This window comes from Homo sapiens, chromosome 9 (assembly GCF_000001405.40).
Source record: "Homo sapiens chromosome 9, GRCh38.p14 Primary Assembly".
NCBI classification, from domain to species: domain Eukaryota; kingdom Metazoa; phylum Chordata; class Mammalia; order Primates; family Hominidae; genus Homo; species Homo sapiens.
In genome coordinates this window covers 33,973,073-33,987,046 of record NC_000009.12, presented here as the reverse complement: position 1 = coordinate 33,987,046, position 13,974 = coordinate 33,973,073, and the positions used below count along the sequence as shown (strand labels likewise).

The window sequence follows — 13,974 nt, the reverse complement described above, 5'->3', positions numbered from 1 at the left end:
ACAAGTGCTGGAATTACAAGTGTAAGCCACTGTGCCTGACCTCATTCAGTTTTTAAGTCACTTTTGTTTTTGTTTTTCCTGTTTTTGAACCCGTTGTTTAAATTGTAGCCTGTTTGTCATTCCTTCTTTGCCTTTAATAGGTGCTTGATAAGGTTATGTACAAGAGGTTTGGAAATGGAAATTTGATTTTTCTGCTCTTTTCCCCCTAGTTAGAGGTGAAGAAAATGGAATTGATTGCAATCAAGTGGACAAACCTTCAGATCGTGGCAAGCGAGCCCGGGGTAGAGGTAAGCTAGAGTAAGAGGGAAGAAAATGCTTTCAATTAGGGGGAAGAAGCAGGCAGTTGCGTTGCTGGACTGTGACTAGGGATGGCAGTGTGTTCTGAAAGAATAGCAGGTCATCTAAAATCTGATCATTTGTTTACTGATGCCTGTAAATGAACTATTTTGGGTTATGTAGTTTTGAAGAAACCAAAGGGTTGTTTTTGGATGAGCTGAGAAAGCCCTATGAATAATTTAAAACTTAAAGCTCTAACCAAAAGCATTGACAAATTATAATTGTATTACGTTTGGAATACAATGCAATAGGGTTTTTTAAACCTTATTTTAAAAATACTTTATTGCTAAAAAAGGCTATGATCATTTGAGCTTTCAGTGAGTTGTAGTCTTTTTGCTCTAGTCCTCACTTCTAGCTATTTTGAAGTGTATAATACGTAATTGTTAAGTAGTCATCTTACTCTACTGTTGAACATTAGAACTTATTCCCTTTTTTTGAGACCCTGCCTGGCTAACACAAGGAAACCCTGTCTCTACCAAAAAATATAAAAAATAGCTAAGTGTGGTGGCACGCACCTGTAGTCCCAGCTACTTGAGAGGCTAAGGCAGGAGAATTGCTTGGACCCAAGAGGTGGAGGTTGCAGTGAGCCGAGATCTCCTCACTGCACTCCAGCCTGGGCAAGTGAGCAAGACTCTGTCTCAGAAAAAATACAAAATACAAAAAAATACAAAAATTATCCAGGCATAATTAAATGCAGGGTCTTACTTTGTCACCCAGGCTGGAGTGCAGTGGCATCATCTCAGCTAACTGCAACCTCCACCTCCTGGGCTCAAACAATCCTCCTACTTACCCTCCTGAGTAGCTGGGACTACAGGTGCACGCCACCATGCCCAGCTAATTTTTGTATTTTTGCTAGACATGGGGTTTTACCATGTTGGCCAGGCTGGTCTCAAACTCCTGGCCTCAAGTGATCCACCTGCCTAATCCTCCCAAAGCGGTAGGATTACAGGCATGAGCCACCGAGCCCGGCCTAGAATTTATTCCTTCTCTCTGTGTTTTAACCTATCCACCAATCTCTCTTTATTCCCCACCCTCTATACCCATCACCTTCTCTGCCTCTGGTAACTATCATTCCACTCTCTACCTGCATGAGATAACCTTTTTAGCTCCCACATGAGTGAGTACGTGTGATATTTATCTTTCTGTGTCTGGTTTATTTTATTTAACACAATGTCTTCCAAGTCCATTCATGTTGCTCCAAAGGACGTGATTTCATTCTTTTATGGCTGAGTAGTATTCCAACCTGTAAATATATCACTTTTTAAAATCCATTCATCTGTTGATGAACACTTAGGTTGATTCTCTATATTTGTGAATATTGTGAATAGTGCTTCACTTCAAAATAGCTAGAAGTGAGGACTTGAAAAGTTCCCAACACATAGAAATGATAAATGCTCATGGTAACGGATATCCTAAATACCTCAACTTGATAATTATATATTCTCTGCATGTAACAAAGTACCACATGTACCCCATAAATTTGTTTAAATATTATGTATCTGTAAAAAGTTAAAAATTAAAAAAAAATAGAAATTGCCACAGCCACCACAACCTGGCAAACATGAAGCACTATTGGTTTCCTTTTCTTTGTATAAATATCTGCTAATGGGATTGCTGGATCATACGGTAATTCAATTTTTTGTTTTTGATAAATCTCCATACTGTTTTCCAAAATGGCTGTACCAGTTTATATTCCCACCAATAGTGTATGAGAGTTCCCTTTTCCCTGTATCTTCACCAGCATCTGTTTAATTTGCTTAATTAGTTAAATGCAGTGTCATGATCATAACTCATTGCAGTCTTGAACTCCTGGGTTCAGGCAATCTTCCTGTTTCAGCCACCTCAGTAGTTGGGATTACAGGCTATTTTTTGTCTTTTTGATAATAGCCGTTCTAACTGGGGTAAGATGATATCTCATTGTGGTTTTCATTTGTATTTTATTGATGTTTAGTGATGAGCATTTTTTGTGTACCTTTTGGCCATTTGTATATTGTCTTTTTAGATCCTTTGTCTACTGTTTTTTTTTCTCTTAAGAGACAGTGTCTCACTCTGTTGCCCAGGCTGGAGTGCAGTGGCATGATCATAACTTACTGCAACCTTGAAATCCTGGGCTCAAGTGATACTTCCACCTCAGCCTCCTGAGCAGCTGGGACTATAGGCATGAGCCCCACCATGCCTGGCTAATTTAAAGAAAAAAAAAAATTTTTTTTTTAAGAGATGGGGTCTTGCAATGTTGCCCAGGTTGGTCTGGAACTCCTGGCCTCAAGCTGTCCTCCTACCTCAGTGTCCCAAATCTCAGGGATTACAGGTGTGAGCTACTATGCCCAGCTGTTTGCATACTTTTTAATGGGATTATTTATATTTTGGCTGTTGAGTTGTTTAGATTCCTTGTATTGTCTGAATATTAGTCCCTTTTCAGATGAATATCATCCTGCAAATTTCTTAGATGATACTTCCTTAATGCTGAGGCTAAATTGGAGACCATATTTTTAAATCCCAGGGATTCAGGCCGGGTGTGGTGGCTCATACCTGTAATCCCAGCACTTTGGGAGGCCAAGGTGGGCAGATCACTTGACATTAGTAGTTCGAGACCACCCTGGCCAACATGGTAAAACTCCATCTCTAATAAAAATACAAAAATTAGCTGGGCATGGTGGTGTGTGCCTGTAGTTCCAGCTACTCGGGACGCTGAGGCACGAGAACTGGGGGAAGTGGAGGCTGCAGTGAGCCGAGATTGTACCATTGCACTCTAGCCTGTGTGACAGAGTGATGCTCTGTCTCAAATAAAAAAATCCCAGGGATTCAGTATTATTCTAGGTAAAGTTTCTTGTCATATGCCACATAGTAAATTGGTAAAAACCAAGTATAATTCTGTCTTCCACAAGCTGAAACTGCTTAGTATTTTTTATATTTAGGACCAGGTTTCTGTAAAGTAAGTTTCAAACTTACTATTGTCAAAGATAGAAAGATGGCAACGAAGAGTGTTGGCACGTACACCTCTGCTAATTTATTAGGTCCTAAACCCTGAAGTACACACCTTGGGAAGAAAAAGAAAATAGAAGGTAACAAAAAGAAAGAATAAAATGACTTTATTGACCCCTAAATTTTACTGTGTCTCACCAGGGAGGGCGGTCACAGTATAAGACCAACGTTATGTGTGTGATTAGTCCTTACCACCCTGTTCTGGTTAAAATATCATTGTTCTGATATTCCTTTGTTCTTAAGGTTTTAGGAATACATAGTAACCCAGCTTCTTCCCCTCTTACCAGGGAGAGGGTTTTCTTTCCTAGGGTATTTGATCTCTCACATGCTTCTGCTGGCATTAGTGGGCGTCTTAGAGAAATCGTCAAATCTTCATGACTGAAATCCCACTACTGACTACACTGTTGAATCCTTTACTTTTACCCTTTGACAGTAGGAATCTAGTCACAGTATGTATTTGGATTGGTTGTTTAGAGACATGTTTAAGGATTACAAGCTGATCCATGTCATAAATCAGACAGATTTATTGTTATAAAAACACATTATAGGGGGGCCGGGCACCGTGGCTCACATCTGTAATCCCAGCACTTTTGGAGGCCGAGGCGAGCAGATCACGAGGTCAGGAGTTCGAGACCAGCCTGGCCATCATAGTGAAACCCTGTCTCTACTCAAAATACAAAAAAATTAGCTGGGTATGGTGGCATGTGCCTGTAGTCCCAGCTACTTGGAGGCCGGGGCAGAGAATTGCTTGAACCTGGGAGGCGGAGGTTGCTGTGAGCCGAGATCATGCCATGGCACTCCGGCCTGGGTGACAGTGAGACTCTGTCTCAAAAACAAAAAAAAAAAAACAAAAAAAAACACCACACATTATAGGGGATAACCAGTGAATTGGAGATTGAGTATCTGTTAGGATGGGTACTGTTATTACTTTGAGGAAAAAGTTGATATGTTTACCTTGGTTCTATTTAGACTAATAAACCCCAAATAAATAAAAGTTAACAGACCATGTAAAATCACCATAGTTTTTCTTAATCGCAAGTATGCTAGATAAATTCTGCAGGGGGTATGGTGTTTTATTTGACCTGTTCTTCCTATTCTTACTGGGACTGTATGGTGGCTGTTCATATAATTTTCTCATCAGTATATATACCGGTGAATAGGAACAGAATGCAAACAATCAAAAACATAGTCCATTTAAACTATCTGGGCGACAAAATGGGCACTTAATTTTACTGTCAAAATCTATTACGTTCGCTTTATATAAAAGCAGCTATGTAGGCAAACTACCTACCTATTTTTTATTTGTTTTGGTTTTTGTTCTTAGCTTGATCAGTTGGCCTTGCTGGATAGTAAGTTGTCGTAAGTGTGGAGCAGAGTTTGCATTCAAGCTGGAGCCACTTGAAAAATCATTCCTATAGAGTATATCTTTCATAAGCTTTTTTGCTAGTGGAGTGTAATTGAGGATTTTTGCAAAGGATTTGGGTTGAAGCGGAATTATTAGAATGTCAGGTAAGTATGTTTACCAGCAGGCCCTTTGACAGCTTGGGTGAAAGAGGGGCTGCTGGCTGCTGGCAGTTCTGCTGAGATTTTTTTTAGGACTTTCCTGAAGCTTAGCTTCAGAGTTGTAAAAAGCAACTGCAAGGAGTGGGGCCTGTCTTGGGATCTGCCAGATATGTGATGATCATAGGGGAAGGAGCAACTGTCTTATATCTTAACAATTCTGTTCTTCTCACCAGTATCCTGAAGAGAGGAAAGAGAAAAGCAGAGAGAAGTTTTCCATTTCATAGAGATAATGTGAAAATTACTATGATTCTGACATTATTTTTTGTAGTGTACCTCTTCTCTCCCCTTCCTTCCTTCCTTCCTTCCTTCCCTCCCTCCCTTTCCCCCCTTCCCTCCTTCCCCGCTTCCCCCCTTCCACCCTTCCTTCCTTCCTTCCTTCCTTCCTACCTTCCTACCTACCTACCTACCTTCCATCCTTCCATCCCTCCTTGCAGGAGTCTGTGTTGCCTTGGCTAGTATCAAACTCATGAACTCAAGCAGTTCTATATCAATGTATTTAAAAAATAATTTCAGGCCAAGTACAGTGGCTTATGCCTGTAATTCTAGCACTTTGGGAGGCTGAGGTGAGAGGATCACTTGAGCTCAGGAGTTCAAGATCAGAGTGGACAATGTAGCAGGCTTTTTTTGTTTAAAAAAAAAAAAATTAGCCGGGCATGATGATGTGCATCTGTAGTCCCAGAAACTCAGGAGGCTGAGGTGGTAGGATGGCTTGAGTCTGGGAAGTTGAGGCTGCTGTGAGCTGTGATTGTGCCACTACACTCCAGCCTTCAGATATTTTAAGCTTTTCAGACAGTAGGCCTTTATTTACTATCGTATCTTTCCCCGTCTTTTATTTATTTGTATTTCTAGATATATATATATATCCAGAATATATATATATATCCAGAATATATATATATATCCAGAATATATATATATATCCAGAATATATATATATATCCAGAATATATATATATATATCCAGAATATATATATATATATCCAGAATATATATATATATATCCAGAATATATATATATATATCCAGAATATATATATATATATATATATATATATATATATCCAGAATATATATATATATATATATATATATATATATATGAAGTAAATAAGCCCATATTATTTTTTTGGTCTTGACATAATTTAGGAGTTCCAAAGCAATATAAAATTTCGTGTGGCTCACCGTTTTTATTTACTGTATTTTTATTTATTTATTTTTGAGACAGGTTCTTGCATTGTCACCCAGGCTGGTGTGCAGTGGTGTGATCTTGGCTCAGTGCACTCTCCACCTCCCAGGCTCAAGCCATCTTCCCACCTCAGCGTCCCTAGTAGCTGGGACTACAGGTGCACGCTACTATGCCCAGCTAATTTTTGTAGAGAGAGGGTTTTGCCATGTTGCCCAGGCTGGTCTCAAACTCTTGAGCTCAAACAACCCGCCCACCTCAAACTCCCAAAGTGCTTGCATTACAGGCATGAGCCACAGCGTCTGGCCTGCTATTTCATTTAACTTTGTTTTGAATGTGCTTTATGCAGAAAAAGATATCAATATACTTAATGTACTTGACATAGATCCATTTTTTGTACTTTGCTGTAGTTGAGTGTGTTTATGTATTAGAAATGACGCTCGCCGGGTGCGGTGGCTCACGCCTGTAATCCCAGCACTTTGGGAGGCCAAGGCGGGCAGATCACGAGGTCAGGAGATCGAGACCACCCTGGCTAACACGGTGAAACCCTGTCTCTACTAAAAAAAAAAAATACAAAAAAAGATTAGCTGGTGTGGTGGCGGGCGCCTGTAGTCCCAGCTACTCAGGAGGCTGAGGCAGGAGAATGGCGTGAACCTGGGAGACGGAGCTCGTAGTGACCCGAGATCACGCCACTGCACTCCAGCCTGGACAACAGAGCAAGACTCCGTCTCAAAAAAAAAAAAAAAAAAAAAAAAAAAAAAGAAATGACACTCAGGATTTGGATTAAAGCAGAATTATTAGAATGTCAGGATTTGGATTAAAGCGGAATTATTAGAATGTCAGCTAAGTATGTGTTTGCCAGCTTTGCTTGAAGATTTGATTCCATGATACAGTTTTTTGTTGTTGAAACTGGGTCTGTCTCTGTCGCCCAGGCTGGAGTGAGTGCAGTGGCGTGATCTCGGCTCACTGCAACCTCCACCTCCCAGGTTCAAGCAATTCTCCTGCCTTAGCCTCCCGAGTAGCTGGGACTACAGGAGTGTGCCACCATGCCCGGCTAATTTTTTGTATTTTTAGTAGAGATGGGGTTTCACCGGTTACACTTATTTATTTATTTAGAGACAGAGTCTCACTCTGTCTCCAGGCTGGAGTGCAGTGGTGCAATCTCGGCTCACTGCAACCTCCGCCTCCGGGGTTCAAGCAATTCTCCTGCCTCAGCCTCCCATGTAGCTGGGACTACAGGCTCAGCTACTTCTTGTATTTTTTAGTAGAGACGGGGTTTCACCATGTTGGCCAGGATGGTCTCAATCTCTTGACCTCATGATCTGCCCGCCTCGGCCTCCCAAAGTGCTGGGATTACAGGCATGAGCCACCGCACCTGGCCAGTTATTTTTTATTTTTATTTTTTGAGACGGGAATTTCTCTCTTGTTGCCCTGGCTGGAGTGCGATGGTGGGATCTTGGCTCACCGCAACCTCCGCCTCCCGGGTTCAAGCAATTCTCCTGCCTCAGCCTCCTGAGTACCTGGGATAACAGGCATGCGCCACCACACCCAGCTAATTTTGTATTTTCAGTAGAGACGGGATTTCTCTATGTAGGTCAGGCTTAAATGTGTATTTAAATTACTCTTCTTTTGTATGTTTCTTTATCTTGTGTATTCATAAATGGTTTATCAGCTTATATGTATTATTTTGGTCTTTTGGTGAGATTGAGTCAAGTAAGGTAGTGAACTATAGTTTCTTTTTTTAGAGACAGGGTCTCACTCTGTTACCCATCCTGGAGTACAGTGGCATGATCATAGCTCACTGCAACCTCCAACTCTTACGTTCAAGCAATACTCCTGCTGCCTTAGCTTCCTGAGTAGATAGGACTGCAGGTGCACATCACAATGCCCAGCTAATTTTCAAAAGCATTGTAGGCAGGTCTCTGTGTGTTGCCCAGGCTGGTCTTGAACTCCTGGCTCCAAGCAGTCCTCCTCCCTTGGCCTCCTAAAGCAGAGGGATTACAGGCACAAGCCACTGCTTTGGCTGGTAATGAATTACACTTGAAGTTACAGGGGTTGGTTTCCTTCTGGATGGAAGAAAAATAATGCAAAAAAGGCAACAATAGTTTACTCCCTAACCTTTCTCACTGCTTTACCTTACTGTTTTGTATTTAGTGACTCAGATTAGTTCCTCTACTTTTTCTTTCTTTCTTTCTTTTTTTTGAGACGTAGTCTTGCTCTGTTACCTAGGCTGGAGTGCAGTGGCACAATCTCGGCTCATTGCACGCTCCCCCTCCTGGGTTCACGCCATTCTCCTGCCTCAGCCTCCCGAATAGTTGGGACTATAGGCACCCGCCAGCACATCGGGCTAATTTTTTGTATTTTTAGTAGAGATGGGGTTTCACTGTGTTAGCCAGGATGGTCTTGATCTCCTGATCTCCTGATCTCGTGATCCGCCTGCCTTGGCCTCGTAAAGTGCTAGGATTACAGGTGTGAGCCACTGCACCCGGCCTAGTTCCTCTACTTTTAAAACTAATTATTGCATGAATACGGTCTATATAGTACAAGTGCAAAGTAATTTTGAGCACCTACTATGTTTTAACATTCTACTTAAAAATTTTTTTTTTAAGGTAGAGAAGGGGCTCTTGCTCTGTTGCCCAGGGTGATCTCAAACTACTGTGGCTCAAGTGATCCTCCCATCTTGACCTACCAAGGTGCTGGGATTACAGACATGAGCCACCAGACCCAGCTTACGTTTAAATTTCGAATCCTCTGTAGTACCTTCTTTGGGAGTCTTGCTGAGTCCTTGTTCCACATAGCATTTAATAAAATGCTGATTCTCAAATCAGTTACTGAACAGATAGGTTATTTCCTGTAATTATATAATGCCATTATTGTGCCTCTATACATGAGAGTTTAATCCATGAAAGACTCCATATTTATGAAGTTGGGATTACAGATCAGTCTTTTTTTTTTTTTTTTTTTTAAAAGACAGAGTCTCGCTCTGTCGCCCAGGCTGGAGTGCAGTGGTGCGATCTTGGCTCACTGCAACCTCTGCCTCCCGGGTTCAAGGGATTCTCCTGCCTCAGCCTCCCGAGAAGCTGGGACTACAGAGATTGAGACCATCCTGGCTAACACAGTGAAACCCTGTCTCTACTAAAAATACAAAAAAATTATCCAGGCATGGTGATGCACACCTGTAATCCCAGCCGCTCGGGAGACTGAGGCACAAGAATCATTCGAACCTGGGAGGCTGAGGTTGTGGTGAGCCAAGATTACGCCACTGCACTCCAGCCTGGGTGACAGAGCAAAACTCTGTCTCAAAAAATAAAAAAACCTTGAACAATCATTCAACAGAGATGTAGTAGAGTCCCAGGGCTTGAGGAGGAAAGGTACAGCATTTACCATAATATGGTTTATTCGCTTTGATAATCTTTGGAAACGTTGGACTTGGTTTTTGTGATTAAAAGACTCTGGATCTTTATTCTGAGCTGCTAGATTAATCTGTTCATTCCAGATAACAATGCAGGGAAATGGTATATACACAGAAACCAATGTTACTAGTAGCGTTACTACCAGGTGAGTAGGAAACAATAATTCTATTATCTTGCTAGAATTTATGGGGACGATGGATTAGATTTTTTAATTTTTAAAAATTTTTTGTTTGGCTGGGCGCGGTGGTTCACGCCTGTAATCCCAGCACTTTGGGAGGCTAAGGCGGGCGGATCACGAGGTCAGGAGTTTGAGACCAGCCTGGCCAAAATGGTGAAACCCCGTCTCTAATAAAAATACAAAAATCAGCCAGGCGTGGTGGCAGGCACCTGTAATCCCAGCTACTCAGGAGGCTGAGGCGGGAGAATTGCCTGAACCTGGGAGGTGGAGGTTGCAGTGAGCCGAGGTGGCGCCACTGCACTCCAGCCTGGGCTACAGGGTGAGACTCTGTCTCAAAAAAAAAAAAAATAAATAAAAAACAACTGTTTTTGTTTTTTCCAAGACCGAGTCTTACTTTGTCACCCAGGCTGGAGTGCAGTGGCGCCATCTCGGCTCACTGCGACTGCTGCCTCCCAGGTTCAAGCAATTCTCCTGCCTCAGCCTCCCTAATAGCTGGCATTACAGGCATGCGCCACCATGTCTGGCTAATTTTTGTATATATATATACATTTTTTTTAGTAGAGATGGGATTTCACCATGTTGGCCAGGCTGGTCTTGAACTGATGACCTCAAGTAATCCACCTGCCTCAGCCTCCCAAAGTGCTAGGATTACAGCCACGAGCCACTGCTCCCAGCCTAAGAAAGAAAATATTCTTTACAAAATTTACATACCATACATTTCATCCATTTAGTGTACAATTGAATGGTTTTTAGTATATTCACCAAGTTGTGCAATCATCACCACAATCAATTTTAGAACATTTTCCACACCGCAGAAGTATACCTTACCCTTTATCATTTCACCAATTCTTTCATTCTTCCACCTCAACCCTGAGCACCAGTAATCGCCTTTCTGTTTCTGTAGGTTTTTGTGTTCTGGACATTTCCTGTAAATGGAATTGTATAATATGTGGTCTTTTGTAACTGCTTCTTTCTCTTAGATAATGTTTTGGGTTCCCCATCGCCTTTACCCTGAAGGGATTAACTTAATGTTTTAAACATTCATCCATGTTGTAGTATGTATCAGTACTTCATTCCTTTTTATGGCAATATAATATAATGTTGTATGAATATACTGCATTTTTTTTTCAGTTCAAGGTTTTAAGTCCTGAGAATAGTTTCCTTGTTTTGTAGCTTGTTTAATTTTGGCCTGTATTCTTGCCAAAAGCTATAGACTGAAAGTTTTCTTCTTAGAGCTAATTAGCTGAATTTCTTAACATTCTTGTAAGTCACAGTAATACCTCTGTGTGAAGTCTTACTTTTGCCTTCTTAAAAAAACATTTATTAAAAAAATTTATTGTAGAGGTGGCATCTCGCTTTGTTGCCCAGGCTGGTTTTGAACTCCTGGCCTCAAGCGATCCTCCTGCCTTGGCCTCCAAAAGTGCTGGGATTACAGGTGTGAGCCACCATGTCAGGCCTCAATTTGTTGTATAAACATATACCCACAAGCACAATTTCATGATCATATGGTCAATCATTGTATTTTTTGAGGAACTGCCATACTGTTACCCATAGTAGCTGTACCATTTTACTTTTTTTTTTTTTTTTTTGAGACGGAGTCTTGTTCAGTTGTCCAGGCTGGAGTGCAGTGTTGTGATCTCGGCTCACTGCAAGCTCCGCCTCCGGGTTCACGCCATTCTGCCTCAGCCTCCCGAGTAGCTGGGACTACAGGCGCCTGCCACTACGCCTGGCTAATTTTTCTTTTTTTTGTATTTTTAGTAGAGATGAGGTTTCACCGTGTTAGCCAGGATGGTCTCGATCTCCTGACCTTGTGATCCGTCCGTCTCGGCCTCCCAAAGTGCTGGGATTACAGGCATGAGCCGCTGCACCTGGCCCCATTTTACGTTTTTACCAGCAGTGCACAATGGTGTGCTCCACATCTTTGTCAACACTTGGTTTTTTTTTTGTTTTTTTTTTTTAAAGATAGAGCCTCACTCTGTCACCCAGGCTGGAGTGCAGTGGCACGATCTCAGCTCACTGCAACCTCTGCCTCCCGGGTTCCAGCATTTCTCCTGCCTCAGCCTCCCAGGTAGCTGAGACTACTGGCGCGCGCCACCACGCCTGGCTAATTTTTGCATTTTTTTAATAAAGACGGGGTTTCACCATATTGGCCAGGCTGGTCTTGAACTCCTGACCTCGTGATCTGCCTGCCTCGGCCTCCCAAAGTGCTGGGATTACAGGCGTGAGCCACCACGCCCGGCCGCCAACACTTGTTATTTTCTGTTTTTTTACTTTAATTTTGGTAGTAGTCATCCGAATGAATATGGGATTGTATTTTATTGTGGTTTTGATTTGGATTTCCCTAATGATCAGCAATACTGAGTATCTTTTAATGTGTTTATTGGTCATTTGTATATCTTCTTTGGAGAAATCCATATTCAAGTCCATTGCCCGCCCCCCCGCACCCCCCCCTTTTTTTTTAGTCTCACGCTGTTAACCAGGCTGGAGAACAGTGACGCAAGTTAGGAACTGTAGCCTCCGCCCCCTGGGTTCAAGCGATTCTCCTGCCTCAGCCTCCCGAGTACCTGGGACTACAGGCATGCGCCTAATTTTTGTATTTTTATTAGAGATGGGGTTTTGCCACGTTGGCCAGGTTGGTTTTGAACTCCTGACCTCAGGTGATCCGCCTGCCTTGGCCTCTGAAAGTGCTGGGATTACAGGCATGAGCCACCGGGCCTGGCCGTTGCCCATTTTGAATGGAGTATTTTGTTGTCGAGTTTTAGGAGTTCTTTGTGTGTTCCAGATGTTACTCTGTGATCAGATATATAATTTATAAATATTTTCTTCCATTCTTTGGGTTGCCTTTTTACTCTGTTGGTACCGTGGTGTTTTTTTGTTTGTTTTTGAGAAATGGTCTCACTCTGTCACACTGACTAGAGTACAGTGGTGCAATCTCAGCTCACTGCAGCCTCAACTTCGCAGGCTGAAGCAATCCTTCGACTTCAGCCTTCCGAGTAGTTGGGACTACAGGCATGTACCACTATGCCCCATTAATATTTGTATTTTTTGTAGAGACAAGGTTTTGCCATTTGCCCAAGCTGGTCTTGAACTCCTGAGCTGAAGCAGTCCAACTGCCTCGGTGTTCCAAAGTGCTGGGATTCCAGGCATGAGCCACCGTGCCTAGCCAATATGTGTTTTGTTACAGATTTTGTTGTTGTTGTTGAGACAGAGTCTTGCTATGTCACCCAGGCTTGCATACAGTGGTTTGATCATACCTCACTGCAACCTCCAACTCCTGGGCTCATGGATCCTCCTGCTTCAGCCTGTCAGGTAGCTAAGTTAGAGGCACATGCCCATAAAAATAGTTTTGTAGAGAGGGAGTCTCCCTATGTTGCCCAGGCTGGTCTTGAACTCCTGGCTCAAGCCACCCTTCCACCTCAGCCTCCCAAATTGTTGAGATTATAGGTGTGAGCCACCATGCCTGTCCCAGAAAAGTTTTTAATTTTCATAAAGTCCATTTTGTCTATTTTTTCTTTTTTTGCCTGTAGTTTTAGTGTCATACTCAAGAAATCATTGCTAAATCCAGTGTTGTCAAGCTTTTGCTTTGTGTTTTTCTCTGAGAGTTTTATAGTTTTAGCTCTTAAATTTAGGCCTTTGCTCTTCAGTTTAGGATTTTAATGAAGAGAATGTGGAAAGGTGCTAGTCATAATTTTCTCTTCTTGCTTGCTTGTTCTCATGCTTGCTGCCATTTTGATCTTTGATCACAGACTAGTATTTAAAATGATACTTAACAGTGCCTTCAGCTTACTTTGCATTTTCCTCTTTCTGGTTCTCATTTCATTTATAGTAGTGGCTTATAATTCCATGGTGTTAGCTCTTTCTGATTTTAAAAGATGCAGACTGTTTTATAATACAACCTCCCTGTGTTTAGCTGTCAAATACCACAAATATAATACAAGGATAATTTAATTCTTTTCTAGCCTTAGAAGTCACTAACTGGGTATAGGTAGTTGTATCAGCAGGGATCAGTTAATTGGGTGCCCTGGATTGGAATGTTGGTGCTACTAGGAATAATGATAATATTGTCTGGGTAGTGAGTATAGGATGAAGAAGGAAGTGTAATTGTGTAGGACATAAGTATTATTTTATACTATAATTGTGTGTTTTTTTAAAGGATTTGGACGTGGCAGAGGGAGAGGGGCAGGAAGGTTCTCAACCCAAGGCATGGGGTAAGTGATAGCCATCCTATTTTTATAATTATTTACTTCCCTAGTTTTTATTCTGCAGTTGCTTCTAATACCCTACATCTAATTTAGTCATCATGGTGAATCTAGTGTTT

General features: G+C 41.8%; 1 protein-coding gene across 9 annotated transcripts in view; it reads left to right on the top strand.

Moving 5' to 3' along the window:
- The window catches only part of UBAP2 (ubiquitin associated protein 2), a 127,507-nt gene that overhangs the window by 62,153 nt on the left and 51,380 nt on the right, over window positions 1-13,974 (top strand). For 5 of the 9 annotated variants that reach the window (NM_001370059.2, NM_018449.4, NM_001370068.2 and 2 more), the window contains 2 exons: window positions 210-287; window positions 13,810-13,864. In NM_001370059.2, the coding sequence (NP_001356988.2) occupies window positions 210-287; window positions 13,810-13,864 (133 nt within the window). The remainder of the gene's footprint in view (window positions 1-209; window positions 288-13,809; window positions 13,865-13,974) is intronic. The other 4 variants (NR_163243.2, NM_020867.2, NM_001370067.2 and 1 more) reach the window with 1 other exon arrangement.